The sequence below is a fragment of the Homo sapiens genome, chromosome 21, assembly GCF_000001405.40.
Source record: "Homo sapiens chromosome 21, GRCh38.p14 Primary Assembly".
In the NCBI taxonomy this organism is placed as follows: domain Eukaryota; kingdom Metazoa; phylum Chordata; class Mammalia; order Primates; family Hominidae; genus Homo; species Homo sapiens.
This window is the reverse complement of record NC_000021.9, coordinates 44,299,596-44,327,582: the sequence shown is the minus strand read 5'-3', so window position 1 is coordinate 44,327,582 and position 27,987 is coordinate 44,299,596. Positions and strand designations below refer to the sequence as shown.

The 27,987-nt window shown below is 63.7% G+C and overlaps 1 protein-coding gene across 12 annotated transcripts, besides 8 other annotated features; it reads right to left on the bottom strand.

Annotated features, from left to right (window-relative positions):
- PFKL (phosphofructokinase, liver type) lies at positions 210-27,530 on the bottom strand. 12 transcript variants are annotated; one of them, XM_047440822.1, is made up of 26 exons: positions 27,393-27,530; positions 23,128-23,308; positions 22,166-22,395; positions 21,648-21,783; positions 20,829-20,902; positions 20,255-20,323; positions 16,500-16,577; positions 15,289-15,478; positions 14,440-14,605; positions 13,901-13,945; positions 13,562-13,670; positions 11,244-11,339; positions 11,059-11,151; positions 8,988-9,113; positions 8,168-8,232; positions 7,436-7,499; positions 5,708-5,854; positions 5,380-5,450; positions 4,534-4,621; positions 3,665-3,817; positions 2,928-3,092; positions 2,666-2,727; positions 2,319-2,430; positions 1,523-1,622; positions 1,319-1,424; positions 210-868 (listed from the first exon to the last, which is right to left on the bottom strand). In XM_047440822.1, exons 3-26 carry the CDS (start codon positions 22,262-22,264, stop codon positions 721-723), a joined length of 2,562 nt encoding a protein of 853 aa, XP_047296778.1. In that variant the 5' UTR covers positions 22,265-22,395; positions 23,128-23,308; positions 27,393-27,530; the 3' UTR covers positions 210-720. The 12 variants fall into 12 exon arrangements, with proteins under 12 accessions (XP_047296778.1, XP_006724074.1, XP_024307853.1 ...); XM_006724011.2 differs by having other exon boundaries at positions 22,166-22,326; XM_024452085.2 differs by lacking the exon at positions 20,255-20,323.
- Positions 16,771-16,820: a silencer, noted in NCBI's record as "silent region_13381". NCBI's record gives its function as "represses an Ori minimal core promoter by ATAC-STARR-seq in GM12878 lymphoblastoid cells {active_cell/tissue: GM12878}" and the evidence as "EXISTENCE:reporter gene assay evidence [ECO:0000049][PMID:35858748]".
- Positions 19,343-19,996: an enhancer, noted in NCBI's record as "H3K4me1 hESC enhancer chr21:45727470-45728123 (GRCh37/hg19 assembly coordinates)". NCBI's record gives its function as "activates a minimal SCP1, AML or CMV promoter by ChIP-STARR-seq in primed H9 embryonic stem cells {active_cell/tissue: H9 hESC(primed)}" and the evidence as "EXISTENCE:reporter gene assay evidence [ECO:0000049][PMID:30033119]".
- Positions 20,652-21,305: an enhancer, noted in NCBI's record as "H3K4me1 hESC enhancer chr21:45726161-45726814 (GRCh37/hg19 assembly coordinates)". NCBI's record gives its function as "activates a minimal SCP1, AML or CMV promoter by ChIP-STARR-seq in naive H9 embryonic stem cells {active_cell/tissue: H9 hESC(naive)}" and the evidence as "EXISTENCE:reporter gene assay evidence [ECO:0000049][PMID:30033119]".
- Positions 21,306-21,960: an enhancer, noted in NCBI's record as "H3K4me1 hESC enhancer chr21:45725506-45726160 (GRCh37/hg19 assembly coordinates)". NCBI's record gives its function as "activates a minimal SCP1, AML or CMV promoter by ChIP-STARR-seq in naive H9 embryonic stem cells {active_cell/tissue: H9 hESC(naive)}" and the evidence as "EXISTENCE:reporter gene assay evidence [ECO:0000049][PMID:30033119]".
- Positions 22,000-22,799: an enhancer, noted in NCBI's record as "H3K4me1 hESC enhancer chr21:45724667-45725466 (GRCh37/hg19 assembly coordinates)". NCBI's record gives its function as "activates a minimal SCP1, AML or CMV promoter by ChIP-STARR-seq in naive H9 embryonic stem cells {active_cell/tissue: H9 hESC(naive)}" and the evidence as "EXISTENCE:reporter gene assay evidence [ECO:0000049][PMID:30033119]".
- Positions 25,365-25,504: an enhancer, noted in NCBI's record as "active region_18568". NCBI's record gives its function as "activates an Ori minimal core promoter by ATAC-STARR-seq in GM12878 lymphoblastoid cells {active_cell/tissue: GM12878}" and the evidence as "EXISTENCE:reporter gene assay evidence [ECO:0000049][PMID:35858748]".
- Positions 26,838-27,287: a silencer, noted in NCBI's record as "silent region_13380". NCBI's record gives its function as "represses an Ori minimal core promoter by ATAC-STARR-seq in GM12878 lymphoblastoid cells {active_cell/tissue: GM12878}" and the evidence as "EXISTENCE:reporter gene assay evidence [ECO:0000049][PMID:35858748]".
- Positions 27,308-27,977: a silencer, noted in NCBI's record as "silent region_13379". NCBI's record gives its function as "represses an Ori minimal core promoter by ATAC-STARR-seq in GM12878 lymphoblastoid cells {active_cell/tissue: GM12878}" and the evidence as "EXISTENCE:reporter gene assay evidence [ECO:0000049][PMID:35858748]".

Genomic DNA, 27,987 nt, shown 5'->3' with positions numbered 1-27,987 from the left:
CTGCCCCCAGGGGAGGACCAGGAGGGGCTCAGGTCACCCTGGTGGCCCCCAGGGAGTCCTGGAGAGCACCTGTGGCCTCTCAGGGCACATGTCCCTTTGACCTGGCCCAGGCACTGGCCAGAGGGCCCTCCACCCCTGGGGCTGCTGCCCACTGGGCTGGCCGCTCGGTGCTGCTCCCCCCTCTCTCTGAGGAGTTCTGCAGGCTGTGCTCTCCGGAGACCGATGCACCCCACAGTCAGGGTGATTTTATTTCTAGAAAAGGTGACAGGTGCTGCACGTGGGCAGGAGCAGGTCACAGTGAGGCAGGGCCAGGGGCATCCCCCTCTCAACACAACCTAGGCGCCAGCAGCCTACCGGCCAGGTAGAGCAAGGGCTGGCCCATGTAGTGAGCCCAGCATGGGGAGACGCTGAGGGCCCATGGGGCGCCAAAGCCAGGGGGCAGCAGCCTCCAAACACCGACAGCGCCACGTCCCCTGGGCAGGAAGGTGGATGCCCCAGGGCACTCTGTCCTCCTGCTGGAGGGCCTGGCAGGCTGGTCTCAAGACACCAGCCCGAGGGAGGCCTGGCAGGTGGCCAGGGATAGAGGCAGGGGATGGGCTGAGCAGGGACGCAGCCCCCACCTGCCTGCAGGCTCCAGACACAACAGCCCAGGCCCCATCTGAGCCCTGGCGCTGCGCTGGCATGGGTGGGGGCTGGGGAGGGGCGTGGGCATGGCTGGCCTCAGAAGCCCTTGTCCATGCTCAGGGTGCGGCGGGTCACGTGCTCCAGCTCCCCTGACACGTAGGCGGCCATACTGATGCGGTATTGTGCCAGCATCTTCAGCATGAGCCGCAGGCTCAGCCACCACTGCTCCCGTGGCATGCGGTGCCTGTGCAGGACGGGGATGGGAGGATGATGGGGAGTCAGGGGTCAGGGCAGCTCTTCAGCCACGTCCCCAGCCCCCCCACCCCCCCCGACCCTGCAGCCTGTGCATGCCCCTCTGTCTGAACATCTCGGTATCCGTGGAGCTGGGACAGGTCTGGGGTCCCCATCCCTCGGAGGCACAGCACAGAGTCAGCCTCAGCCGCCCTCAAGCGTGCCCACTCCTGGCTACCCGCTGTGCCCCCATGCCCACCCGAAAGGATTGCCCAGTGTTGTGCTCAGAAGACTTGGGCATGGTCCCTGCTCTCCACGGCCTGGCGGGGACCTGGGCATGGGGGCCCAGGAGGCCTTGCGGGGTCAGGGTGCCAGTGGGGCTGGGCCTGGCACACCTGCCTCAGGGAAGGTCTGGGCCACCCCTCAGCCCCACCCGCCTCCACGAGGCTTTGGTGGAACTCACTCGAAATCAGTGTCTTTCTTGAGCTCAGTGACGGGGCTGAAGGCCACCGCCTTCTTCTTCAGGCCGATCACGCAGGCCGAGTCTGGGGCATTGGCGAACACCCGTCCTGCAAACAGAGGCACGTGGCAGCCCTCCATGGTGAGGCCCTGCCCCAGGGAGCCAGGGGAGGGCAAAGTGAGGCCTCGGGTCGCACCCACCACCTACCCTTGCGGTAAACCTCGCGCAGCTTCTCCGACAACCACAGCATGGCCTTCACCCCCAGCTTGGTCCCATAGTTCCGGTCAAAGGGGGTTGGAGCGCCACCCTGGAAACAGGTGAGGCCCGGTTCCCTGGACTCCCCTGGGCTGCCTGGGCCAAGGCCAACGCCAGTGCAGACAGGATCCCCACGGGGAGCCTCCCAGGCAGCTTGTGAACACCCATTCCTTCCAACCCGTGCACCGTTCCCGTCTGTTCCCGATCGAGGACCCTGCCTGCTCTCTCCAGCTCCAAGTCCAGGCCAGAAGCTGCCTCCCGAGGCCGGCAGTCGGCTGCCCCTGGCCAAGTCAAGTGACTCCTGGGCCCTGCATCGGCAGCCAGCGGCCCCACCTCGGGCCCCATCACCTCGGGCCCCATGCCCAGCCACCCTGACTCCCCTCCCTGGCTCAGAAAACCCCAGGACGCGGGCTTCCTGCAGGGCCACCATAAGGCAGGGAGCATGCGGGGATCTAGGTGAGGGGTTCGGCGGAAGTGGCCGCGGGAGGCCTGGCAGGGGTGGGGAGCTCGGCTCAGCATGTGAATGCCCTGGCTCGGGCCCCGGCTCCAGCCCCAGCCCCACCCCTTCTTGAAATGAGACCTCACCTAGATACAGGCCTCGGTCCCCTCACTGGGGAAGGGCACACGTGCCCGAGGGCCTGCCGGGAGTGCCCGTGGGTGCCCGTGAGGGCTGGGACCCCTGGGGCCGGGGACAGATGGTGGCAGGAAAGAGGGGCAGGCCTCTCAGAGCCTCACCCCTGCCCCACACCTGCTGCAGGTGGCCCAGGACATTGGTCCTGCAGTCGAAGACGCCCTTGCCCTCTGATGAGTACAGGTTGTACAGGAACTCCGTGGTGTAGTAGTCATGGCACTTCTCGTTCCTGAGAGGGGCAGCAGGGCCTGAGTCGGCGGGAACGAGTTCAGGTCTCCCCCCGATCCTGAGTCCCCGCTGGGCCAGGCCTGGGAGAGGGAGTGGCAGCTCCCAGGAAAGCCGCCCTGGCCCACCCTCTCCAAGGACCCCTCCTGCCTTCTCCTGCCCAGCCGCTCCTCAGCAGCCCCACCCCAGCCCCGAGAGTTGGACGCGCAGCTGTGGCCAGGGACCCACGGCAGCCTCACCGCAGCACCAGGCCCCTCTGAATGTCTGTCTTCATCTTCTCCGTCATGTGCTCCACGTTGACCTGCGGGAGGGGCGGACACGGATGAGCCGGAGGACTGTGGGGAGGGAATTCCAGGCTGACCGGCGATCCGGGGCCAGCAGGAGCACTGGGCTACGCGTCCCACCTGCCCGGGCCCTGCCCTGCGCTGGCCGGCCTGAGTGTCTGGGGCCCAGGCTGGCATGCCGGCAGGTCTGCCGCAGCAGGGGCTGGGCTGGGCTCACCTTTAAGTCGTGGATGTTGAAAGGGTCCTCGAAGACGTAGGCGGCGTCGGCCCCCACAGCAATGCCAGTCACGGTGGCCAGGTAGCCACAGTAACCCCCCATGGTCTCCACGATGAACACACGGCGCTTGGTCCCCGAGGCAGACTGTTTGATGCGGTCACAGCTCTGGGGGACAAGGGGGGGTCGGGGGTCCTCCACGTGCCCACCCTTCCCTGTAGGCCGTCGGCATGGCTACCCTGCAGGGAGCCCTGTGTCTCCAAAGCCAGCCTGGGGCTGACGCACCCAGACAGCCAGCAGCACCAGGCTTGGGCCCACCTCCCACCTGGGCCCCACAGGACCAGGGGTTCTCAACCAGGCGACCCCACCCCCCAGGGCACAGTGGACAGCAGCCTGCACACACACTGGCTGTGAGTGGGCAGGGGTGTCCCTGGCACCCTTGGACAGAGGCCAGGCGCTGCTCTTAGACTACCCAGCACTGGGGCGCAGGGACATTCCCGCCTCAGTCTCCCCATCTGAGCTCATCACAGTAGCGAGGAACAACGCAGGGCCCCCCTGGACCTGGAAGTGGCTATGGCAGGGAGCTGAGCCCCTTCACCCGGGCCTGTGCCCCACAAACCCCAACCCTGGCAGCCCTCCCAGGTGCTCACCACACACTATCCCCTCCAGCAGCCTCCGTAGGCTCAGCCCCACCCCACAAGGGCCTGGGCATGGCAGGCCGGTGTCCAGGAGCCCCGTACCTCCATGGCGGCATTTACAGCAGTGTCGGAGCCCAGGCTGAAGTCGGTGCCAGGGACGTTGTTGCTGATGGTGGCTGGGATGACACACATGACGATGCAGAGCTCCTCGTAGCGCCCGCGAGCCTCCACCAGCTGCAGCACCCCTTCATAGGCCTGCAGCAGTAGGGACGGGGCAGGTCAAGGGCAGCACCGAGGCCAGGGTGGGCCGGGGACAGGCTCTGCCGGCGGCCGCCCAGCCCTGCTCCCTGCTGACCTGTCATGTGCCCCGTGCTGGACGCCAGGACCCACCTGCTCAATCCCCTGGGGCTGGGCCAGGCAGTCAGCCTGGTGTCATCTCAGGATGCCTACCAGGGAAACTGGACTCTAAGGAGGGTCAGGAGTCTCCTCCAACCCACTCTGACCCCAGATCCACTCCATGGAGGGCAAGGGGGAAGGGCTGTCATTTATTCATTATTTAGTGACAGCTTGCCCAGTGCCAGGACACCACGTTCAGCGATGCCGTCCAGCACCTACACCTCTGCCTCCTCCGCCTCCCTTCTTTCTCGTCCTCCAGCTTCCGAGTCCCCTTCCTCCCCTGCCCCTCCCCAGCACTGGGGTTAATCGGAACCTTGTGAAGCTTTCCGGAGAAAGTAAAGAACCCTCCCGAGCCCACACACAGCACTTAAAACCCCAACCCTCTCGGCCCCTGCATCAGCCCAGCTGGCACACGGGTGCCCTCCCGAGCCCACACACAGCACTTAAAACCCCGACCCTCTCGGCCCCTGCATCGGCCCAGCCAGCACACGGGTTTTCAGGATGGGCCCCCTCGGCGGGAGGACACCTTGGGTCTCCTGTGCCCTGGGGCTTTTTCGTCCGTGGGCAGCTCTCACCTCAAACCCACCGACCACCAGCAGGGCGTGAATACCATAGATGCGGATGTTCTCCACAATGGACTCCAGCTGGCCCTTGGGCAGGGTCCTGCAGTCAAAGACACATCCGCATGAACACGCAGCACCCGGGGACGCGTGTCCAGATTGCATCTGATCACAGAAAGGCATTGCCTTGGCCGTTCCCCGAGCCAGTCAGCAGTCGCTGCAATGCCCGGGATGTGGCGCTGTGGCTCCACACGGAGAGGGACACACAGGCCCAGCGTGAGCCGCCTGGGCACCACTCAGCATCACCAGGCACCGGCCAGGCAACCGAGTGAACCCCCCACCCCGCTGGGCTCCCCGTGGGAACCCCTTCCTGCCCGAGGCTTTCTCGCCCAACACTCAGCGGCAGGAGCGGATGCTTCCTCTGGCCCTTGCAGCCACTCAGTGGCTCAGGACTCAGCAACTTCCCCTGTAGTCACACAGGGGGACTGTGCCCACCCCATGCCCACAGAAGGGTCTCAGGCCCTGGGACAAAAGCCATCAGACAGGCCCATAGCCTCAGCCAGAGTGCTGACAGTGCAGGCTGCCTGGCCTGGCCAGGCAGGGACAGACGCTCGCCAGCTTCCTTGCCACGGAGAGCCCACCATGGGCATGGGGCCGCCAGAGCAGCCTGCCCTACACAGCGGAGCTCAGGCCAGGAAGCCCCAGGCAGGAGGCGTGAAGCCTGCTCTGGGCAGACCACCAGCAGGAAGAGGGGCCGAGCCCAGGGCCCCGGGCTGGGTTCCCCTTGCCGCCCCCACCTGCAGGGCCTGGATACTGCGCCCTGGCCCTCCTGCCCCCAGGTACCCGCAGCAGGCAGCTCACCTCTTGGTCCCCAGCATGGAGCCACCACGCCCCAACCAGCCGGCCACGTCGTGCCAGCCTACTTCTTGCACCTGCCAGGAGGAGATGCAGCTTCAGGGGCCAGCCTGAGCCTCTGGCCAATTCCCCCCAGGGGTGGGCCTGTGCCCGGGGGCCAGCCAGTGTTGGGCATCACGCTGCAGGCAGAGCTGAGTACCCAGGCCCGGGTGGGCACCGACACGCGGACCCAGGTCTCAGCCTCCACCTCCAGCAGCCGGCCTTCCACAGGAAATGCCCCAAGTGTGCACACAGAAGGCCCAAGTCCTCACTTGTTTGCCCCGGCCGGACCCACCTGACCCTTGGCTAGGCCTTCGAAGCCATCGTGCACCACGTATACTGTGTGTCCATGGGAGATGCCGGTCCGCACCGCCGAGCGCACGGCCGCATTCATGCCAGCCGCCGGGGCCCCCACATTCAGGATGGCCAGGGAGAAGTTAGACTTCAGAGAGAAGGGGAGATGAGCGTGAGGCACAGCCGGGGAGGGGACCCCCAACCTGCACAGGAGGTCAGCAGGCCGGCAGGTTCTGGAAAAAGGGGCCAGGCCCTGCCAGCAGCCTGGACGCTGCCCAGCACACCGCCCAACTGCCCTGGGAATACGGTATCTGTTCTAATTCCAGAAGATTCTGGTGAAGACCAAAAGAGACACGGTGCAAGCCTGGCCCCCTGGCACGCAGGCAACAGAGGAGGCAGAAGGGGCGAGCACTGTTGTGAAGCCAGGCTTGCGGGCGGGAACACAGGTCAGTGCCCACACAAGGGGCTGGCAGCGGGCGGGAGGGTGGGGGGTGCACAGCCACGAGTAAGGAAGGGGCCCTGGCTATCCTGTTTTCTAGTAGCCACGTTAAGGGAAGGGAAAAGACATGGAGACAGTCCCATCAGGACTACAGTTAATTTAACCTGATGGACCCAAAACCCCACCACATCCATGTGAATCCAGTGACGGCCGCCACCACCTCCCCTCCACCCACCGTGCTGAGGCTCTGAACCTGGCGTGCACCTGTCACGTGCAGCACATCCCACTTGGCAGCAGCCACACCCAAGGGCTCCATAGCCACATGGCCCCACTGGGTCCTGGTACGAGCCAGCCCTGCTGCCCACAAAGCCAGTCACGCCCCTGCCAGGTTCTGGGTTCGTGGAGACCAGGTTGCCCCACCACGGAGGGTAGAGCCCGCTGACTAGCTCTGGGGATAAGCAGGAGGCTGGAGCAGCAGGGACACCCAAAGATGTCCATGGAAGGGAGGACCAGACTCAGGCTGGGCCACGCTGTCTGCCCCGGCCTGCAGCTCCGGCTGTGGCTCAAGGGGCTTGGGAGCCAGGACCTCACTGGCCGTGACTCTCTCTACAGGACCCTCGTCCCCCAGGACTTTAGAAACAAGCCATTTCATCCTTATTTTGGAGAGATCCCATTTCCTGAGGTTTTCAGCTGTTTGGGAACATTTTATTTTCAGAGTTTCACTCTTGCCGCCCGGGCTGGAGTGCAATGGCACGATCTCGGCTCACTGCACCCTCCACCTCCCAAGTTCAAGCTATTCTCCTGCCTCAGCCTCCTGAGTAGCTGTGATTACAGGCATGTGCCACCACCACGCCCAGCTAATTTTTGTATTTTTAGTAGAGACGGAGTTTCACCATGTTGGCCAGGCTGGTCTCGAACTCCTGACCTCAGGTGAACTGGCCACCTCAGCCTTCCAAAGTGCTGGGATTACAGGTGTGAGCCTGGCCCCGGGGGACATTTTCTACACAATGGCTTCTCCTCTCCTGAGTTAAGCCTGTGGCCTGACTTCATTTCCATCCACCACTGAGAAGCAACAGCCAGCCCTGCAGCCAGGGTCCCAGCACCCGGGACCTGCCAGCCACAGTGGTGCCTGAGCCCAGGCAGAGGTCAGGCCCACCCTCCCAGCTCACAGCTCGGACCCCAGCAGGAGGGAAGGTGGGGGCAGGCAGGCCCAGCCACGGGGCCAGCGTGAAGAGGCTGCAGAATAACTGAGCCCGTTCCTCCCTCTGTGGGCGCCGCTCCCTGCCTCACCTTCTCCTTGGGGGGCTTCTGGTGGGCGAGGAGCTTGTAAATGTTCCAGTTGTTCTCGAAGCTCCTGGAAGGGATTCGGGTCACACCATGCACAGCCCTGCAGCGCCACGGCGTACAGCCACAGCGCAGCCGTGACAGAGCCCAGGAGGCTGGTCACAGGCACACGGCCCGATGGAAGCTCAGCCATGAGGCAGCAGACACCGCGCATGCCAGGCAGGGCACCTTCCACAGAAGGTGCGAGACCCCCAACACAACACGAGGCCACGCCAGCCCGTGCAGCAAAGCACGTGGCCGGCATCCAGCTCAAGGGAGGGTTGGCCACCTTGGTAGCGGGTGGAGGCACGCATGGGAACCCAGACGTCCAATCCAGCCTGACCCGGCCGCCAGGACGCCTGCAGGGGGGTGGTACCCACACCCAACATCTGCCAGCCTTCCCAGCCCCCGCGGGGCCACCCCATGTCCTGGGCTTGTATCCACAGCTTCTCATCCCCTCGCCATGCCCAGATCCCTGTGCACTGGGCCCTGCCCGTGCCACCGCCCAGGGTCTCCTGTGGTACCACACCTCCCAGCCCGCCTCCTGTACCACCCGCAGGCCCCTTCCTCCCTCGATCTTCAGACGCGGTGCCTAGAAGGATGACCCAGGCCAGGCGTGCATAGCGCCACTGCAGCACATGCTGCCTGGCACCGGGACCCAGCCATGTAAGAGTGCAGGGGTCTGCTGAGGGGGCTTACCCACCACGGAGCTGGGTGGCCTCGTCAAACCTCTTGTCATCCATGGCTTTCTGCACTTCCTTGGTCTTAAGGAAGAGAAACAGAACACAGACTATGGAGAGCCTGGCCCGCACACCCATGGCTACTGCCCTGTCTGGTGGGCCTGACGAGGGCAGATCTGGCCGGCATCTCCTGACCCTGGCCCAGGCCTGGCAGCCTCTCCCTAGGAACAGCGGTCACCACCAAGGCCAGCTCTTCTGGGGCTGGCTGAGACCAGGAGGCCCTACCCTGCCCCCAGCTGCCCTCCTCACCTCTCAGCAGCTCCAGCTCCAGGCAGGGCACTCTGCCCCAGTTGCAGGCCTCCAAACCCACCGAGCCAGGGCTGGACCAGCCCCCACACCCGGCCCCCTCGCCTCTGCCTTCCCCGTACCTCCTCTCCTGGGGTCCCTGCTCCAGCCACCCCAGTGTTCCCCATCACCTGCCTGAGCTCCTCCCAGGGCTCTGCTCTGATCACTGGCCCCTCCTCCTCCGTCCCATCGTAACCCCAACTCCCACCACTGCCTACAGAAGCTCAGTGGCCGTGGACCCCTGTGACTTCCCATGCTCACCAGGCTCCCTGCAGCTCCGACACACCTCCTGGGGAACGTCCCAGGTCCCACGTCCCACCCAGGGATGTGCTCACATCCCTCCCCTCCCTGGAGACCTGGGATGCCCTGGGCCAGCCACGAGGCCCTGCCCTCCGGTGCTCACAGTGCTGGGGCCCCCAGAGAGCAGTGGGGCCTGTGAGTGGGGACTGGGGAGAGGGGCCAGGCGGTTCTGATGGGGGGGGCCCAGGGCTTACCATCTGCACGCACTCCATGAGGGGCAGCCGCACTGACTGGTTCCCCGAGAGGGTGACCACGCAGGCCGGCGTGTCAGGCGTGGCTTCCAGCAGCGCCATCACCGCCTCCATGCCCATCTTGCTGCTCTGTGGGGAAGGGTTCAGGCTGGCACACCCACTTGGTCCCTCTACCCCAAGCCACATGCCCATCCTCTGTAGATGTGCAAACCCCAGCTTCCAGAGCCCCCCACGCTGACGGAAGCTTCCAGAACAGGTGGCATCAGAGATGGAAACGTGTCTGACCAGCATTCACGACGGCACACCAGACACCATTTCACAGAGTCCTCGCTGCCCTGCTGGAAGGCCCAGCCTGCACTGCTGGCTGCAGGGTGCCATGCAATGCGACCCACCCACCGTCGCTCGCTGCCATCGCTAGGCGCGCAAGGCAAGGGCGGGAGCCAGGTCCCCAGGGCCCCATCCGCTGCGATGGATCCTCCCGTGGAGGCCCTCATGTCGTGACTTCCCTGGTGTGTGTCCGCACCGGCCAAAGGGCTGGGCAGAGGACACATCCAGGAGCTGCCCCCCAGGGACACACTGCAAAGGCAGGCCCCAGCCCCACCCCGGGAACCGGCCACAGTGGACAAGAAAGCCAGGCCTGCGGTTGCCGTGGCCGTCCCATGACCACCAGTGGCCAGCCCTGTAGAAGCCCAGCAGCTGGACCCCCGGGGCCACAGACAGCCCTCCGTGTTCCACACAGGTTTTTTCATCTTGCAAGTGAGGCACAGGCGGCACCTTATTCTGGGCAGTCTCTCCAGGACGCTGTTTAGGGAGCAGCCTCGGAGACACCCCCCATGCAGGATGAGGCTCCTTGGAAAAGTGCAGGTTACCACTGCACGTGCTAGGGTCCCCTGGCCCCTTCGCAGCACCCAGTGGGAATACGGGCTCAGGGAGCACAAGAATGCTGACGCTCTGGGTGACAGCCGCGGCTAGGGGCGATCAACTGTCCTTTGTTTCACACCCGGCATCAGGCATCCAAGACACTGGCTGGAAAACCCAGCAGCCTGCAGGCTGGGAGTGCATGGCTGGCCCGGTCACAGCAGCGGCATTTCCATCACCCCAGGCTCAGCAGCGGCTGGCTTGCCCTGATGTCCCCGGCCCCTCAAGAGGCTCTTCAGAGTGAGCCTGAGGCCTCACAGAGGGGACAGCAGCTGCCTGGCTAGGTCGGCGGGGCCCCTCTCTGAGGAAGCCTCCCCTCTATAGAGTGGCCCTCGTCCAGCTGTGTGGGTTCCCTGGGAATGCTCGGCTCAGCACACGAGTCACAGGGCCAGGTGCAGTCACAGGGCTGGGCGCAGTCACCTGGTCTCCCTCAGCACAAGTCCCACCTGTCTGACAGTCTCTGGCCCTGCCTGAGAGGGTGACCACCCTCATACACAGGCATTTTGCCTACCATGGTGCCTTCCTGGCCCCAGACCCACTCCATTTGGCTCCAACTTCATTCCCATTTTGCAGAGGACAAAGTGAGACCCAGCGGTGATCAGGACCAAGGACGGCGAGGCCAGGCCAGACCCCGAATGCTCCCTCCCAGCACCAGCCTCCCAGACTGTGACGCCACAGGCGCCATGGGCACCACCCTCTGCCCACCCAGCCCCTCTCCCAGGGCCTGCCCCTGGCCCTGACTGCTGCCACGTTGGGCTGGCAGAGGGTGGGGGTCAGAACAGCCAGGAGGCACAGGCTGGTGGGGGGCCTCCCATGGTCCCCAGGTCTGAGTTCCCTATACCTGCAGGGGAACGGAGAAGCCAGGCCTCAGTCTCCCCCAGGAGGAGCAACAGCTTGAGGGAACACCCACACACACCCACACTGACACACACCCACACACACTGCCACACACACCCACACGGACCAGACACACACAGACACACCCACAAGGACCACGCGTCCCCCACACATACACCCCCACACACAGACACGGACACTCACCCACAGCCACATGGACACAGTGCACGTGCCATGCTCGCGTGCACACTGCCCACACCCACACCCACACACCACGCTTACCCACGCACGTACGCAGGGCAGGGTGATGGCCACTTACCAGGATCCGGTCGAAGGCAGAGGGCGTCCCTCCCCGCTGCACGTGGCCCAGCACAGTTACACGGGTGTCGAAGCCCAGCCTCTGAACCACCAGCTGCAGGACAGTGGGAAGGACCAGCCCTGAGCCCCAGCCCACACGGCCTAGAGGAGCAGGTGCCCAGTGGCCACCCCCAGGCCCACACGCACGTCCTTCACGTAGCTGGACGAGATGGGCTTCCCGTTGCGGTCAATGGCACCCTCAGCGATGATGATGATGTTCAGTCGGGACCCACGGCTCCGAGTCTGGGTCAAAGACACGACAGGGCTCAGCTGCCAGGCAGGGAAACCTGCCCCGGACACAGCCCCCGGGTGCCAGGAGCCCTCCCTGGGGCCACCATTCCCAACCCACATGGGCCAGGGCACAATCCCCACCCAGCAGGAGGAAAGCAGGCCTGGAGCGCGAGGGCAGAGATGAGGCTGGGCCCACTAGGACGCCCCGCCCTCCTGGAGGCGGTGAACAAGAGGGCTCTGCCCGAAAGCCTGGGAAGGGCAGCAGGGGAGGAAGGGGGCCCTCGGGGCTGGGCCCAGCACACACACAGCTGGGGCTGGGCCCTTGTGTCTGGTGAAGCCTTCCAGGCGGGAAGACGCACAGGGCTGCAGCTCCACGGGGCACAGGGCAGAGGGGCCTGCCCGGGCTAGCCTGGGCCAGGTACCTGGGGCCCCTGTGAGCTTCCATCTGCTCATCCTTATAACCAGGGGCCCCGCATCGCTGGCACCAGCCAGGGCTCCCCGGACACCCTGCACCCTGAAGCCACTGTGGGTCCACACTGGTGCACATAGGACACACCATCCCCTCTGCCAGCCTCAGGCTGCTGCCTCAGCACCACACACCAGCCGCGGCCCAGCTCTCTGGGAACTGAAAGAGCTTTTCGGCCGTCCACTTCAATGACCCAGCCAACATTTGTGGGACTCGCTCTGAGCCACAAGCCCCATGTTTGCCCACCACGGGCCACAATGCCTCCTACAGGGACAGGGTTGGAGCAGCTCAGACAGGGCCCGGGTGTGGTGGGAGTGGAGGGCTACCTGGAGGAGGTGGCGCCAGTGCAGGTGAGGTCAGACACCCGGAAGATGGGCTGCAGGTCCAGCAGGAGAGCTGTGCCACCCTCCCTGCCCCAGTGCACCCTGGGTGGTGGGCAAGGCGGGAACCCGCATGTTACAGGGGGAAACAGACTCTCAGTGAGGGCCTGAGCTGCTCACACAGAGCAGGAAGGAACCAGGTGGGCCGACCTTGCATCCAGGCCACTTCCAGGAGGGCCCAATGTGAGTCACAGACATAAGCTAAGGCCAAGGTCACCACTGGAGCCGGAACCCCCGGGAAGTCCCTGCCCTAGGAGAGCAAGCCCCTCATAGGACCCGCACCTTGGGCCAGCCTCGCCTGTTGGGCTCCATCTCCGCCCGGCCCCTAGGCTCCACTGGGGAAGGTTCTAGAAGCCAGGTCATTACCCACGGCCTCTCCCACTGCCCTCGGCAGCACTGTACAGCCACGCGGAGGTGGAACCAGTGTCCACACAGATGGGAGTGACGCTGCCACCTTCACACGGGGACAGGGATACCGTGTCAGTCCCAAACCCACCCTCTGCCCCCAGGGCTGGTTCCAGTGGTCCTGCCTCAGCCTCAGCGCACAGAGGACAGAGCTAGAGCCACGGGGGCCCCTGGCCTTGCCCTGCATGGTCGGGTGTGGGCGAAGGACAGCCTGAATGGCCCGTGCCTCTGGTCCACCATTGAGCCCCACCCCACCAAGGGGCCGACCTGTCCCAGTTGAGGGGTCTCAGGGTCCACAGGGCAGTGTCAGCCTGTTCTAGGCCAGAGCCCCCAACTCCACCCCAAGGGAACCAGAGGGCGGCATTCCAGGCACCCCCACTCCAGACACACCCCTCCCCACCAGGCACCCCCCCATCCCTCCCAGAGGCGGTCTCGGCCTCCCAGCAGCCTCCCCACCCTCTCCTGCTTCCGGGACCTCCTGTCCACCCTGTGGCTACAGCCACGTTCCGACACATCTTTCCAGCCTAGAACCCACCCCCGGGCCCCGACCGCCCTCAGGGGAAGGCCCTGCTCCCCACTGGCCCAGCTCCTGGCCTCGCCACCCCCACAGCCCTGCCGTCTGGACCTTGCTGGGGCCACTCCCTCACAACCAACCACCTCCCACCGCCCCAGGCTCAGCAGTCCCACCCCAGTAAGCAGCCTCACCAAGCTCCCCACACTGACCACGGGGCTGAGCCTGGGGCGGCGGCAGCCTGAGTGACCCTCTCCGCCTCCTGCCCACTGGGGGCAGGACCACAGGTGCCTCACTGAGGTCAGCCCCGTAGCCCCCCACTCCTTGCGTGTCCCGCCCCCAAGGGGCACCTGCAGCTGCTGATGAACCCATGAGTGATAGATGAGTTGGTCAAGGCTGGTCCCAAAACCCCAGGGGCGCTACCCAGTGCACCAGGACACCTGCGGCCCCCAGCAGGCTGGACGGCACCCACCTCACCCAGCCTCTCACACATGAAGTTCTCCCAGCCGTCCTCGGGTGGAGCCTCGGGGATGAACAGCCAGTCGGCCCCTGAGGCCAGTGCAGATACCAGCGCCAGGTACCTGGAGGAGCGAGCGCCTGCCTGCTCAGGACCCCCACCCAGCCGTTGAGGGGAGCTTCCCTGTACCCAGAGGTCCGACTCTGGGCCACAGCTTCTCTGTCTCTCCCGGCCCCCACCCGGCTCTCTCACACCCATGGCATTAACTGAGCCCTAGAATAAATATGCCACACCTGTCACTGCGGTCCCCAGCAGCACCCGGGCCACCCAGCGGGCCAGGAAGCCCCTCCTCACCCGCAGTGCCGGCCCATCACTTCCAGCACGAAGGTCCTCTGGTGGCTGTGGAGATGGAACAGGAGGATGCATCAGTGCCAGCCACACGGCCCTGCCAGCCCGATTCCCTGCGGGGTGCTCAAGGGACCCAGTGGATGGAGAGGCAGGCAGGGGACAGCCCCTTCTCATGCCCAGGCTCTGAGCTAAAAGATACCTTGGGATCCTTCCAGCCTTTGGGCTGGTTTCGACTGATCTCCTCCCAGGCTGAGGGTCATTTGCCAAGCCCAGGCCTGGCCAGCCCAGGACTTCCTTTGGGGGCGTCACACCCCAGGGCAAGCAGCTGCCCCTCAGAAGGGGCTGCACAAAGGCCCCCCGCGGCCTGGCAGAGTGGGAGTGGAGCCCGCTGTGCGTTCCCCCAGCTGGGGGCTGAGGGCGGCTGGCCTGGATGCTGGGGCTACCAGAGTCCACTGCCCTTGCAGATGGCCGTCACCCTGAGACCACCTCACCACCGTGCGGGGAGGAGGGGCCCTGGGCTGGCCGCCGGCGCCAGCCTCACTCACCTCTGGGCAGTGGTGGTGATGGCATCGATGACCTCCATGATGCGGTGGAGGGCCGAGTCCGTGCCGATGGTCATGTCGGTGCCGCAGAAGTCGTTATCGATGGAGCCCACTAGGCCCGCGATGTTCAGGTGCGAGTAGGTCCGGGCTGTAGTCTCTGAGATCTTACCTGGGCCAGGAGCAGCAGGAGGACCTGGCTGAGGCTCCACTGGCCCCACCACAGGGCCAGAGACCCCTCTCCTGCCACCCCTTCCCCCGCATCCCAGGCGTGCAGCCCGGCAGGGGCCCCGGAGTTCCAGGCTCAGCCTCCTCCTGCCTGGAACCCTGTGGCAGCATGGCTGGATCCGCTGGGGCCAAGTGCAGACGGGGGACCTCTGGGGTGCCTTGCAGAGCGGCCAAGGCCTCACATCAGGGTCCCCCACATGAGGGACATGGAACAGACATGGCTCCGAGAGGCCACTTTCCAAGCAGCAATCTCGGGACTCTGTGTCTTATGTCACCCCAACTTCAACTCTATTTCTGCAGACTGTGACCATGCATGTCCAGAATCTCACTCGGATCAATCACAGAGAAGACTTGTCTACGCAGCGTAGGGTGAGCAACACCGGCCTCCACCAGCCCCATGCACTGCCTGGGTGCCCTCCCTCAGGCTTGAGCACTGACCTCCATCTCTGGGAGACATCTGAGCTCGTGCTGGCAGACACTACTCCTCCCCGGCCAACGGCCAGACAGCCCCTCCTCTGCCTCGGGGCACCCAGGGATCCCTCGTCCCTCTGTCCTGCCCATTCCCACGCCTGGCAGCAGCGGCAAAACAAAACCCCAGGGCCTACAGTGCGCCGGGCACAGACCCACCTTCCGCCACCAGCTCCTCCAGCAGGCTGCCCCACTCGCTGCGGAAGATGTTGGCACCTGTGAGGCTGCCATCCCCGCCGATGACGCACAGGTTGGTGATGCCGTGCTGGACCAGGTTGTAGGCCGCTGCCCGGCGCCCCTCCCTGGTGGTAAAGGCCTTGCAGCGAGCGCTGCCAATGATAGTGCCGCCCTGCACAGAGGAGACCAGAAACTTCAGGAGAGATGGCAGGCGGCAGACAGCCCCTGGGGATCACCAGAGGGACCCCAGGACTGGGCAGCAAGGGGCTGGCAGACCCTGCAGAGTGAGAGGCAGAAGCCCCGGGGTCTCTGGAAACCTGAGGTGGCCCTACCTCCCTGGGCCTCTCTCCTTGGAGAGACAAAGAGGAGGATGATGTCCGTCCGGTCCTGGGCTTGGGAAGCCCCAAGGTAATAGAGTGGAAGGCTTTGGAGACTGGAAAGCACAGTACACACACGCATAGGTTGCCACACACATGTGCGTGCACACGTGCACACACAGGCCCTGTACCAACTCAGGGAACCGGCCAGGGCCTCCAGGGCTCAAGCCTCAGCAGCTCCAGGTGCGCTCACGTGGCCCCTCATAGCCAGCCTCAGCCAGGGCTCCCCCAGGACCCAGCACGGCCACGTCTCCAGGTCCTCCTGGCCCCTGGCAACCCCATGACCCTGCGACCCAACAATTCCATGGCAGCAGATGACAGGGTCGGCCTGAACCTGAGTCCCTGTGCGATGGGGCACGTGTGTGTGTGACTCTGAGTACATATGTCTGTATGTTTCTGTATCTGTGTACCTGTGTGCGCATCTGTGTGTCTACGTGTGTATCTGTGTATTTATGTGTCTGCATGTGTCTATCCATGTGTATCTGTCTCCATGTCTGTGTGCATCTGTGTGTGTCTGTGTGCGCGTCTGTGTGTCTGTGTGCACGTCTGTGTGTCTGTATGTGTGCATGTCTGTGTGTGTCTGTGCACGTGTCTGTGTCTGTGCGCGCCTGTGTGTCCGTGCACGGGTCTGTGTGTGCACGCATCTGTGTGTGTGCACATCTGTGTGTGTGTGCGTCTGTGTGCATGTCTGTGTGTCTGCATGTGTGTGTTTGTGCACGTGTCTGTCTCTGTGTGTGTGTCTGTGTGTGCAGGTCTGTCTCTGTGTGTCTGTCTGCGAGTCCAAGTGCAACATGCATCCGCGTTCCCAGGCCTCACCAGCTGGATGATGTTGGAGACGCTCAGCCAGTTGGCCTGCTTGATGTTCTCACCTCCCTCCACGAGGCCCTCATAGCCCTGAAATCAAGAGTGGGGCAGGCATGAGATAGGGGACCCCATGGCGGCCGGCAGCAAGTGGTCTGGGAGCAGGATTTTCACCCCACCAGCAGAAAGCAGGACCAGGGTGCTGACTGTGAGGCCCCACCATCATCCCAGGGCCTGGGTAACAGGGTCCGGGTGCCCCCTAGGGGGCTCCAGACACCCTCTGCACAGCTGGTGAGTCCGTGTGTCCCGGGGCGTGACTCCTGTGGCAAGTGCTTTGGTGCAGGGGCCTGTCTGAGCTCCCTCACCCCACCCAGATCCACACAGGCAAGTTCAGCGTCCCGAAGGCCCCAGCGGAGCCCGCCATCCAGCTCCTGAGGGTGCATCCTAGGTCTGCCTGTTCTGAACATCCTAGAAATGACACCACAGAGGCTGCTGTGCGTGGCTCCTTCTGTCCCCACTGGAGTCCTCCCAGGCATGCGGCCGGCGGGGTGTGCGGCGCGTGCTCTTGCTGTGTGGCGGCCGTGTGAACAGCCCAGGCTACCATCTGCCCGCCAGAGCGGGAAGCTGAGAACACACACACCTCCCTACAGGCGGGCCCCCACCCGAGGGAGCTCCTGGGTCCAGGGGACCCGAGTGGCCATCGCTCGTAGGGCCGGCAACACCCCAGGCAGGGGCTCCAGGCTCCGCGTCCCGCCACGCCGGCCACACTGGGCCTTCCATCCAGTACCGTGGATCTGCCTCTCATGCGGTTCTACCTGGGATTTCCCAGATGGCACCTGCACAGCCTCCGTGCCACGTGCCCGTTTCCTACTGCACGGCCAGCCCTTTCTTGTTGTTTGAGGGGAGGGACACTCATGACTGCATTTCACTAAGGGTGTGGAGAGGAGAAGGGCGGCCTCCTCCGTGCAGCCCCGGTCCCTCCATGGCATCAGCAGCCTTCTCCAGGCCGTGAGGTGAGGCAGTGGAGCAGCCATTCCTCGGCCAGGGCGGATGCCAGCTCAGCTGTGGGCTTCTGCTCCTCCCTCCGCCTTCTCCCCAACCAGGTGTCAGGGCCCTGGGGGCCAGGAGGGCAAGTGCCTCAAGCAGGCAGGGGGTCAAGGGATAGTGCGCGCTGCGGGGCGCATGAACATCCCCACTCTGGCCATGGCGGGCTTCTAGCCTGACAGCCTCCCTTCCCCACCAGCTGGGCTGGGGGACAGGTGCCCCTGCCCCATCTCAGGGGCTGATCTGAGGGACCACAGAGCTACTTCCTCCGGCTCAGGCCAGGCCAGCCTGGCCCCCTCTGGTTGTACCAGCCCTGAGCTAGGAACAAGGAAAACAGGAAAATGATCCCAAACCCACAGCCCCACCTGAGCAGGAGGCCACCAAACACAGGTCTGTCTGCAAAACTCAGGATCCAATACAGAGCCCAGGCGCCAGCCAGGCCCCTGCCCCACTGGGCGGAGGGGCAGGCAGGTATGGCCAGCCCAGCAGTCCCCAGAGACCCCACAAGGCCAGTGGCTCAGTTCTGCTGGAATCAGTCTCACAGACACAACCTCCTCCTACCCTTGGAATCTTCTAGAAGCTGTTTGCCCCCCTCTACCCACTCTGTTTCCGTCTCTGTCCTCCTAGGCCCAGCTCACCTTCCCCTCCTTCCCCTCTAGCCCCGCCCCCTCCTCTCACCCCTGCAGGCCTGGACCCAGGCTCAGGGCCCTCCCTGCTATGCTGTGGGCTCTGCCTGGGGGGATAAGAGTAGCCTGTTCTGAGCCCTCCTTTGTGTCAGAACTGAGAAGGGTTTTCACCTCCAAGGCCACCCTCCCTTTCTGCCCTAACAATAGCCCCAAGGAGAAGGGATCGGTCTCCCTGCTGAAGGAAGCCAGCGCTGGGGGCTCAGAAACCCAAAATGCAGTCTGATGTGAACTGACGCAGCCGCAGGTCTCCCTGACCTCCCCCTTCTGCCTCTCGACCCTCTGCCTCCTCCAAGCTCAGGATGCAGCTGCTCCCTGAAGCCCCCGAATCTGCCTAAAGCCCATAGCTGCTGGAGAAAGGAACAGTGACGGCCAGTCCCCTCCCTGAGTTTCCATGCACTGAGGTCATCGTAGGAAGAAAGACCTGTGTCTGCCAACACACTTGGGCAGGTGGTCACCAGGGCTAACAGATGCTGTCCAAGCCCATTGAATCCCCTAAAAACCATTCATGGCCGTGCACAGTGGCTCGCGCCTGTAATCCCAGCACTTTGGGAAGCAGAGGCGGGTGGATCACCAGAGGCCAGGAGTTCGAGACCAGGCTGGCCAACATGGTGAAACCCCGTCTCTACTAAAAATACAAAAAACAGCTGGGCGTGGTGGTGGGTGCCTGTAATCCCAGCTACTCAGGAGGCTGAGGCAGGAAAATTGCTTGAACCTGGGAGGCAGAGGTTGCAGCGAGCCAAGATTGTGCCACTGCGCTCCAGCCTGGGCAACAGAATGAGACTCTGTCTCAAAAAAAAAAAAAAAAAAAATTCCTACCCCCCTAGAATCATCCAGGCTGCCCATGCCCCTTTCCCTGGGAGGAGGGCAGGTCAGCATCTTCGCCCTACCTCTCCATGCCTATTCACAATGAATGCCAGCACCTCTGCCCTATTAATCCGCTTTTCGCAAGTGGATTCTTCCAAGAACCTTCATGGGACGGAGGGGAAGTCTTCCCTGGGCCGCTATATCAGAATGTCTCATCTCAAAATCTGCCTCTTAGATGTGGATGTTTCTGAGCTAAAGCCCACTAGGCAGCAGATTCAGGGAAGCTCTCAGCCTTGCCTCCCTTTGAGAGGAAAGCAGCACACAGCATCCCAAGACTAAGGCTCCTCCTGTTACCGCCTGGACAGGATGTAAATGCCCCTCACAGCCCTCAGGACCCAGAGACAGCCCCAGGACCCGCGCCCACCCACTTCATTCTTTTTCCCATAAACTCACCCTCCTGCATTCCCCCACCTCCGAGGGCCTCACGCTGCGTCCCTGTACCCCTCGGCTTCTCCATGTGCACTGGTCTCTGCTGGGCTCTGCAGAAGCCAGGACTCTAGGCACGGCAAAGTGCCTCTTCTCCCCTTTTCCAGGACACGCCCTGCACCGATGAACCTGTTTTCTGTCTTTTGCCACAGGAGTCTTTCCCAACCACAAATGTGTGGGGGTTCCGGAAAACCCTAATTTCTCCCCTTTGCCACTTAGAAGAAGAAACTGAAGGTCGAGCAGGTGGCAGGAGGGGTTTGTACGGACACAGCCCAGCCTGCCTAGAGAGGCCCCCACACCCAGCTCCCCAGGGCTCTGAGACCTGCTTCCTAATCCAATACTGGCAGGGCCCCAGCCTGGCCACAGGGAGAGGACGGGCCAGCACAGACTGCCCACTCACTCATTCATTCACACAGTCCTGCAGAGGGAGGGCTGGACAGGCTGCTGTTCCCTGGGGCCAAGATGGGGGAACTGAGACCCAGGGCGGTGAGTGGTCAGCAGCGAGCAGTGAGCAGTGAGGGGGGTGGGGCTGAGTGCCTGGGGCTGCAGAGCTGGGGTTGCTACATTTTATATAAACAGCTACATATTACATAAAAAGTGGCAACAAAATAACAAAAGACCTTGTCTTGTGGAATGTGGAAAACCACCTGACAAGGCAAGAATGCAGCCTGTGAGTGCGTGGTGTGGCCCAAGTGTGTGAATGCGCCTGTGTGTGCACATGTGTGAGCGCAAGTGTGGGTGTGTAAATACCCAGGACGGAGGGCGAGCCCCAAATCTCCCACGGGGACTGGGGCTGAGGCAGTAGGGCATCCGCTGCTCCTGCGGGGACACAATGAACATAGACACAGCAGAGCTGCTGCCAGCGGCTGCCCCCCGGGTCTGGGTGGTGAGGCAGGAGGCTGGGGAGGACAAGGGCAGAGGCGGTGAGGTCCCTGGCCCCCACTCACAGAGGCCTCGGGGCGGGACAAGGGCCAGGCTGGGGGACACCAGGCAGGGGTGTGGTGGGTGGGGCCTGGCCCGTCAGCGATCACTGTAGGCAGGGCCTCGACTCCTTGTCCACCCAGCTCCTTCCCTGCCCCCAGGCCCGTGCTCTGCAGCCTCTGAGCCTCCAGCCGGGCTGAGTCCCAAGGCAGTAGGTCTTCTTTCTGCAGATGCCTTTGGCCTGGCCCCAAGCTCCCCCTCACACTCCCCAAGACCACATACCCATCAGCTCCTCCAGGCCAGGACCACCCCGTCTCCCAGTGTGACCCACACAGAACACACCTCGGCATGCGCCTCAGGAGGTCCCCACTCCCTGCACACACACAGCCCACCTTGGCCTTACCTCGTAGATGAGGAAGACTTTGGCACCCACATAAATGCCCATGCGCGTCACAGCCCGGACAGCAGCGTTCATGCCTGTGGAGGTCAGGGCAAACCTGTCAGTCCCACGCTGAGAAGCAAGGCCCTGGACACCCTCCCCATCTCAGAGGACAGGGGGTAGGGGAGGCCTGGACACCCTGTCCATCTCAGAGGGCGGGTGGTGGGGGAAGGCCCTGGTCACCCTCCTCATCTCAAGAGGGCAAGGGTCAGGGAAGGCCCGGACGCCCTCCCCATCTCAGAGGGCAGGGGGTAGGGAAGGCCTGGTCACCCTCCCCATCTCAGGAGGCACCAGGCCAGGAAACTTGAGGACCAGCCCTGGGCCCCCGGGTGGAGGCTCGGGTGAACCCAGCAGGCTCTAGGCTTCAGCTTCCGAGCACCTGGAGTATGGTGCCCAGAGATAAACTGGGAACATCCCATGCAGAGCATGGCAATCAGGCATGTGTGGGTGTCCCGAACTCCACACCCCGCCGCCCCAACCTCTGCCACGGAGCCCCCACACTCACAGGCCACGGGGCCAGGCCTTGACCACAGAGCAGGATAAAAAGTGGGGCAGGTGGAAAAGAGGCCGGCACCTCCCACACCGGCCCCACCCCAGACATTCAGGCTGCGGCGTGGGGATGGAGAAGCCGGGGAGCACCTCTGGGCACTGAGGAAAGCACCTGCTGGAAGGGGCTTGGGCTCCTTCCTCCGCAATGAGATGGGGGACTGAGAACAGAGCCCCTCCGGCCTCAGCCACCCAGGGAACAGCACTGCCCTGCCCCAGGGCCTCAGGGACCCTCACCCCCCAGCCTGGACATGATGCTGGTGCCACCAGGCTCTGAGGTCACTTCCTCTTTCCTGTCCCCTTGCCCTCGGCTCCCAGGACTGCAGTGAAAGAAACAGTCTGTCCCAGCGGGGGCCTTGGCAAAGCCAGTTTCCTGGAGAGGGACATTAACGGGGGAGGCGGCACTCAGGAAACGCTGGTGCTAATGTACCCCACACCTTCTTCCCGAGAGCCCCCATCTCAAAAGATATCCATGACTTCATACAAAAGGGGCAGCCAAGACCACCTAATCTTCAGAGAGGAGGAAACCCACGCCAGCGGCCAGGGTCCCCTTCTGAGTGAGGTCTGGGGCCGTGTAACAGGCCTGAGTTTGTGCTTGCCCCTGGGACCAGCCCTGCTCTTCCTGCCTCCCTCCCAGCACCCATACCATGCCATCCATCCCTAAGCCATGCGGGTCCTCTGTCCCCAAGCCTCGTGCCCCTCAAAAGCCCCTGCCCTCCCACCCCCCTGTACTTGCAGAGGCTGGAGGTGCTGACCTGCTGGGGGCTCCTGCTCAAGCCTCGGCAGCTCCCTTGAACATGGAGACCCCCACGAGAGGACTCTCGACCTCTACCCTGGTTACACATGCTTCTCATCCGCTCTCCAGCTTGGCGTGGGGCTCAGCAGCAGGGAGCAGGTGTGAGGTGAGGTGCCACGCCTTGAGAAACCCCAGGGATCGGCACACTGTTCTCACGTAGCAGCCAGAGTATCTGCCACCATCCCCACACTACAGGAATCCAATGAGATCCCAGAGGGAGGGTGAGGGACCTTCCAGAGCCCAGCAGGTGGCAGCAGAGCCAGGACTCACCCAGACCCACCCTCAGGTTCAGTAGGTGGCCCTCTCCCCACCCAGCAGCCAGGGGATCCAACAGGGGGGCCAGAGCCAAGCCCGGCAGCCATCCAGAAGAAGGGGCACAGACGTTAGAATGGGCAGAGCACAGAGCGTGCAGGGAGCTGGAGCTGCCCACACTGGCAGCTTCTCCACTTGAGCAAGCAACGCCGTCTCTAAAGGAACAGTGCCTCCCTCACATCCCCACATAGATGGGAGCACGGCTGCTACAGCTGAAACTGGGGCGGGAACCCAGCAAGCATCCCACACACACCCAGAAAGCCAAGCCCCCCAGACAGACAGACAAGCTCCCCCAGAAAGACAGCCGAGCCCCCCAGACAGCCGAGCCCCCCGCAGACAGCCAAGCCCCCCGAGACAGACAGCCGAGCCCCCCCCAGACAGCTGAGCCACCCCAAGCACCCGACAACCAAAAACAGTCAGCAGAGCCAAGTCCTGCTGCCTGAGGCTGGGCGTCCAAGGTGGTGCTGTGAGTGCAGCGCCCTGTCCCCCACCCTCACTGGAGTTGGGGGCAGTGAGGGAGATCCACTCAGCCACAGCTGGCCGAAGCTAAGCCTCCGTCCCTCCCTCGCCCTCCCTGCAGACCTGGTCCCACCACAGGTCCAAGCCCACCTCTGGCAGGCAGCAGCTGAGGCAGGGCAAGGAGAGGGCAGGAGCAGCGCACCCAGGCCACCGTCCAACCACAGGGCCTCTCTGGTCTCCCCAGCTCCAGGCGGAGTCAATGTGCCACTGGGCGGGTCAGCCCAGGGTCACAGCCATCTCAGCAGGGGGCCTGGTGGGCTTGTCAGGGGACCTGGGAACGGCAAAGGGGCCCCAGGATCAGGGGTCAGCAAGGGTACCCCTCACTTCCAAATGTCTTCAGGGTGCTCTGCAAAATAAAACCTGCTTTGACGCCCGGAGACAATGAAGCTGCCAAAACCCAGCTTTGTGCTGAGCCCTTGGGAGGAGAACAAAGTGGCCATGTCACATGGCCACTTTGTTGTTGGGACTGGATTTTAGAACGGGACTGGAAAGGGACACGTTCTGGATTTTAGAACGGGACTGGCTGCGGCCTGAAGGAGGAAATTTTCTCTGTTAACCTCATTGGAAGCTGTAATCTTCAAAAGACCTTTTTAATGGCCCTTTAATCGGCTTTTCTTTCTCAAAATAAACCTCGGGCAGCAGTCGCCGACACCGCAGTCAGAGGGCAGGCAGGACAGTGGGCCTGCCGCTGCCTACCAGCAGGTGATAGCCACCCCTGCCCAGGAAAAAAGGCTGGAACAAAATCAATGTCTGAGGTTGGTGCGCTGGTTCCCAGTGACCTTTCCTCACCATTAGCTCCCAGGCAAGAAAGCAGTGAGCATGAAATGGTCACAAAGTTTAATGATCAGCTAAGGATGTAAGCATGAGCCTGAAGGCTCCAAACAGGAGGCCATGTCAGGGAGGCGTGGCGGGCCAGGAAGCTAAGTCCTCACCTGCGATAACAGGAAACCAACGTCCAAACACACCAGCCAGGGAAAGGCAGGGCACGGTGTCCTGCAGGGGCAGGGAGGGGGCACTAGACAAAGGGCCCAGAGAATTAAAAGTGCCCAGGCCAGGGCGAGATGAAGGTAGGCATAGGCAGGCCGGGCCATTTTTTTTTTTTTTTTTTTTTTGGTCAAGTCTGTTTTTTTTTTTTGAGACAGAGTCTCGTTCTGTCACCCAGGCTGGAGTGCAGTGGCGGGATCTTGGCTCACTGCAACCTCTGCCTCCCCGGTTCAAGCGATTCTCCTGCCTCTGCCTCCCGAGTAGCTGGGACTACAGGCATGTACCACCACGCCTGGCTGATTTTTGGGGTTTTTTCTTGTTTGTTTTTTGCAACAGAGTCTCGCTCTGTCGCCCAGGCTAGAGTGCCGTGGCTCGATCTCGGCTCACTGCAACCTGCACCTCCTGGTTCAAGCGATTCTCCTGCCTCAGCCTCCTGAGTAGCTGGGATTACAGATGCGCACCACCATGCCCAGCTAATTTTTTGTATTTTTAGTAGAGACGAGGTTTCACCATGTTAGCCAGGATGGTCTTGAACTCCTAACCTCAGGTGATCCACCAGCCTCAGCCTCCCAAAGTGCTGGAATTACAGGCGTGAGCCACCGCGCCCGGCCTGTTTCAAGTCTTCTAGCTACCTTTGCACAGGTTATTGTGCAAATAGATATCCTTGAACAACGCCCTCCCCTGCTCAACAGCACCAACCCCTGGCCAACAGGAAAGGCGTGACCCAGAGCCACACAGGACAGGACTTGTGGGCTGGCTGGAAGGAACTTGCAAGGTGGCCTGTCTTGTCCCCAACCCCCTTTCACAGAAGGGGAAATCAAGGCCCGAGAAGTCCCAGGACTGGGCAACACTGGCAGGATGGTGAGGCTGGCTGTTCCATACATCCAACAAACGCAGACTTCAGCATTGGGGCAGAAAGTGCCTCCCAGTCCCCACTCTCCTGCTGCCCGGCTGACATAGAGGGCAAAGAGAAGGGCACACTATGCCACAGGCTTCCCCTCGGCCAGGGTCAGCCTTTCTAGGAAGGCAGTGGGGCCCCGAGAAGGAAAACAGAGCACCCACCATGGGGAGCCACACGGCAGCAGCAGTGGTGGCCTGGGAGAGCCCTGCAGACTGCTTTTCCGAACTCATGAAACAGGACTCTGGTTCTGCCCAGAATGTCAGTTCCTCCCATCCTACTCGCCCCAGATCATCCTCCATGAATCAGCCCCAGCCCTGAACTGGGGAAGTGTGTGGAGTCCTCCTCCCTTGCAGAAAACCACCTGTTCCCTGTCCACGCATGGGAGCTCACATACAGAGACGCTGCAGCTGCACGGGGCTTGGGAAGGGAGGACATTTGCAGAGGAAGGCACAGGCCCAACTGGGATGCCATGATCGGCCAGCAGGTGCACTGTGGGCACCCTCCCAGCTGCAGCCAGGAAGCGCTGCCCACTCCATATCAGGCACTGGGGCCAGGCTGAGCAGTTGGAACCCCCAGCTCAGACAGAGATGGGAGGCCCACCCAGCCGGCCTGTCCACAGGGCCAGGAGGGGCATCCCATCTCCAGATCCTCCACCAGCATCCAGAACCGCCTGTCACCCTGGGTGCCCCTCCCCGCTGGCCCAAGAACCACCTGCCAGGCTGGCCCTTCAGCAACCTCCAGCGAGCCCCCCTTCTCTGTTTAGTCTGTGCATGGGGTGGCAGGGGGTGGGGGGGGCACGTGCCACCCCAGGCTCTCAACTTTCCCAACCCTCCACTGCTGATGCTCCCACTTTGCAAACAAGGAAGCTGGTTGGGGACCCTCTGTGTTTCAGGGAACCACAGGTGGGCTTTGGGGCTTCACCAGCCTCACCAAGAAAGCGCCTCCCTGGTGGGCAGGCGGGCTGGCCCCACAGCAACCTGTCTGCCCTCCAGACTCGGGGCCTTTCTTGTCTAATCTCATGGGATGGAGCTTCCCGAGTTCACCCTCCAAGGCCACGGGCCTCCTCTCCCACCTGGGCCCACAACCCACCAGGCCACCCAAAGTGCTGGAATTACAGGTGTGAGCCACCGCACCCGGCCTGCTTCAAGTCTTCTAGCTACCTTTGCACAGGTTATTGTGCAAAAAGACATCCTTGAACAACGCCCTCCCCTCTCGACAACACGGACCCCTGGCCCACAGGAAAGGCGTGACCCAGAGCCACACAGGACAGGACTTGTGGAGCCACACTGGCTCCAGGACACTGCCAGTAGCCGGCAACAAGCAGCAGCTCCCGCTCTTGCCACAGCTGTGAAAAGGGCGGGTGGGCAGCCACCACAGGCCTGGCTCAGCCAGGTCTGAAGGAGCCCCCTCTGCAGGCCGGGGTTCAGACAGTGACACCCACGAGCCACTCCTGCCTCCCTGGCTTGGTCCCACTCAAGGCCGGCTTCCTTCTCGCCTCTTCCTGGCTTCCAGATAGGGAAAAGGAGGGTCAGGTGCCTGAAGCTGGGTGGGGGTGTGTGTCCGCATTTTCTCAACCATTTTCTGAACTCTAAAAGACAGACCAGACCCCGCTGCACAGCCTTGGGGTGCTGGCTGGGCCCCTTCCCAACCCAGCACCTCACTTCTGGTCTCCTAAATCCTCTCCTCTCTCCTCCTGAGGGGTAGGGTAGGTGGCGTCCTGTGCCACAGGTGCCACACTGGACATGTCAGGCCAGAGACACTGGAGGCCGGCAGTGGGCAGGACCAGGCCTCCGGGAGGGAGCGTGCGAGGACACCACGCCCTCAGGCCGGACCCCCACCCAGCTCTGCCAAGTCCCAGTCCCCACCACCTGAGGCCTCCCCAGTACCCCTGCGAAAAGGGTGACAACTGGGCTTTGCTCAATGCCCCGGGCAGCCCATCTCCCCACCGCCCTCTTCCCCAGCTAGACCCACAAGGAAGGCGGCCGCGAGGGCCCCGAGGAGGAGGCGCGGTCCGGGAGTGAGTCCGCCCCCGCCCAGCCGGGAGGAGGTCCCGGAAGCCCGCAGCCTGGCGCCGGCCCTCGGGAGGCACCGGGTCCCCGGGTCGCTTCAGAACCAGGAAGGGCCAGGCTCTGGGGGTGGCGGGACCGGCGCCCTCCGCTCGCGTGGCCTCGGGGACTCCTCGGGAGGTCCTGCCCCGCGGCCCAGAGTCGGACACACCCCCGGGGCAGGGCGCGGGCGGCGCCAAGACCCAGGCGGAGGCCGAGAACGTGGCCGGCCGCACGTAGGCCGGAGACCGCGCCGGGGAAGAGCGGGGGACAGACCCGGGGCAGGAGGCCGGGGCGGGAGGCCGGGGCGGGAGGCCGGGCCGGCCCGAGACCCGGGTCCCGGGGCTCGGCGGGCGCTCCGGAGAGGCCAGGGCGGAGGCGCCCTCCACCCCCTGCGCCGCGACGCGGCCGGGACCCCCGCCCACCTTGCGCGTCGCCGCCGCTGGTCAGGACGCCGATGGCCTTGCCCGCGCCCGACGCCCGCAGCTTCTCCAGGTCCACCGCGGCCATGGCGGCGGCCGAAACACGGGCCCAGCTCGCACTCCCGCCGCCTGCGCCGCGTCGCCGTCCCCGCCCCGCCCCGCGCGCGCCTTCCGCCCGCCCCGCCCCGGGCCCGCCCCCGGCGCCTCCTCGCAGGACGGACCCTGGACGGAGCAGGGATCCTGCGCCCTCGGCCCGCCGGGGCCACCTTCCCGCTGTGCGTTTCTAAACCTGTGCAATGTCACGCGGGCCCTGAGCAGTGAGACCCCCCCCTCCACCCCGGTGGTCTCGAGGATGTGGCCGGGGACCAGGGCGGGGCTGGCCCCAGTGCGGCCGCACGCGCCCCTTCGCCAGCGCCGAGGCCCCGGTGGCACGTCTGGCCCGGCTTCGCTTCTCCGGAGGTTCCTTGCTGTCGGCCGCAGCCACCGCCCCTCCCTGCCCCCCAGGGGCCCTCAGGGCGCCTTCAGGCCTCAGCAGAGCGAAACCCAAACGAGGCGCTGGCGGAAAGCAGCCAGCACTCCTCCCTCCCTCTCCCTCCTT

Coding starts and splice junctions, on each gene's coding strand:
- PFKL (XM_047440822.1), bottom strand. CDS start 22,264: ATGAGAAGCATGTGTAACCAGGGTAGAGGTCGAGAGTCCTCTCGTGGG. Junction 11,152..11,243: donor CGTCCAGCTACGTGAAGGAC/GTGCGTGTGGGC, acceptor ACTGTCCTGCAG/CTGGTGGTTCAGAGGCTGGG. Junction 1,425..1,522: donor GCGCGAGGTTTACCGCAAGG/GTAGGTGGTGGG, acceptor CTCTGTTTGCAG/GACGGGTGTTCGCCAATGCC.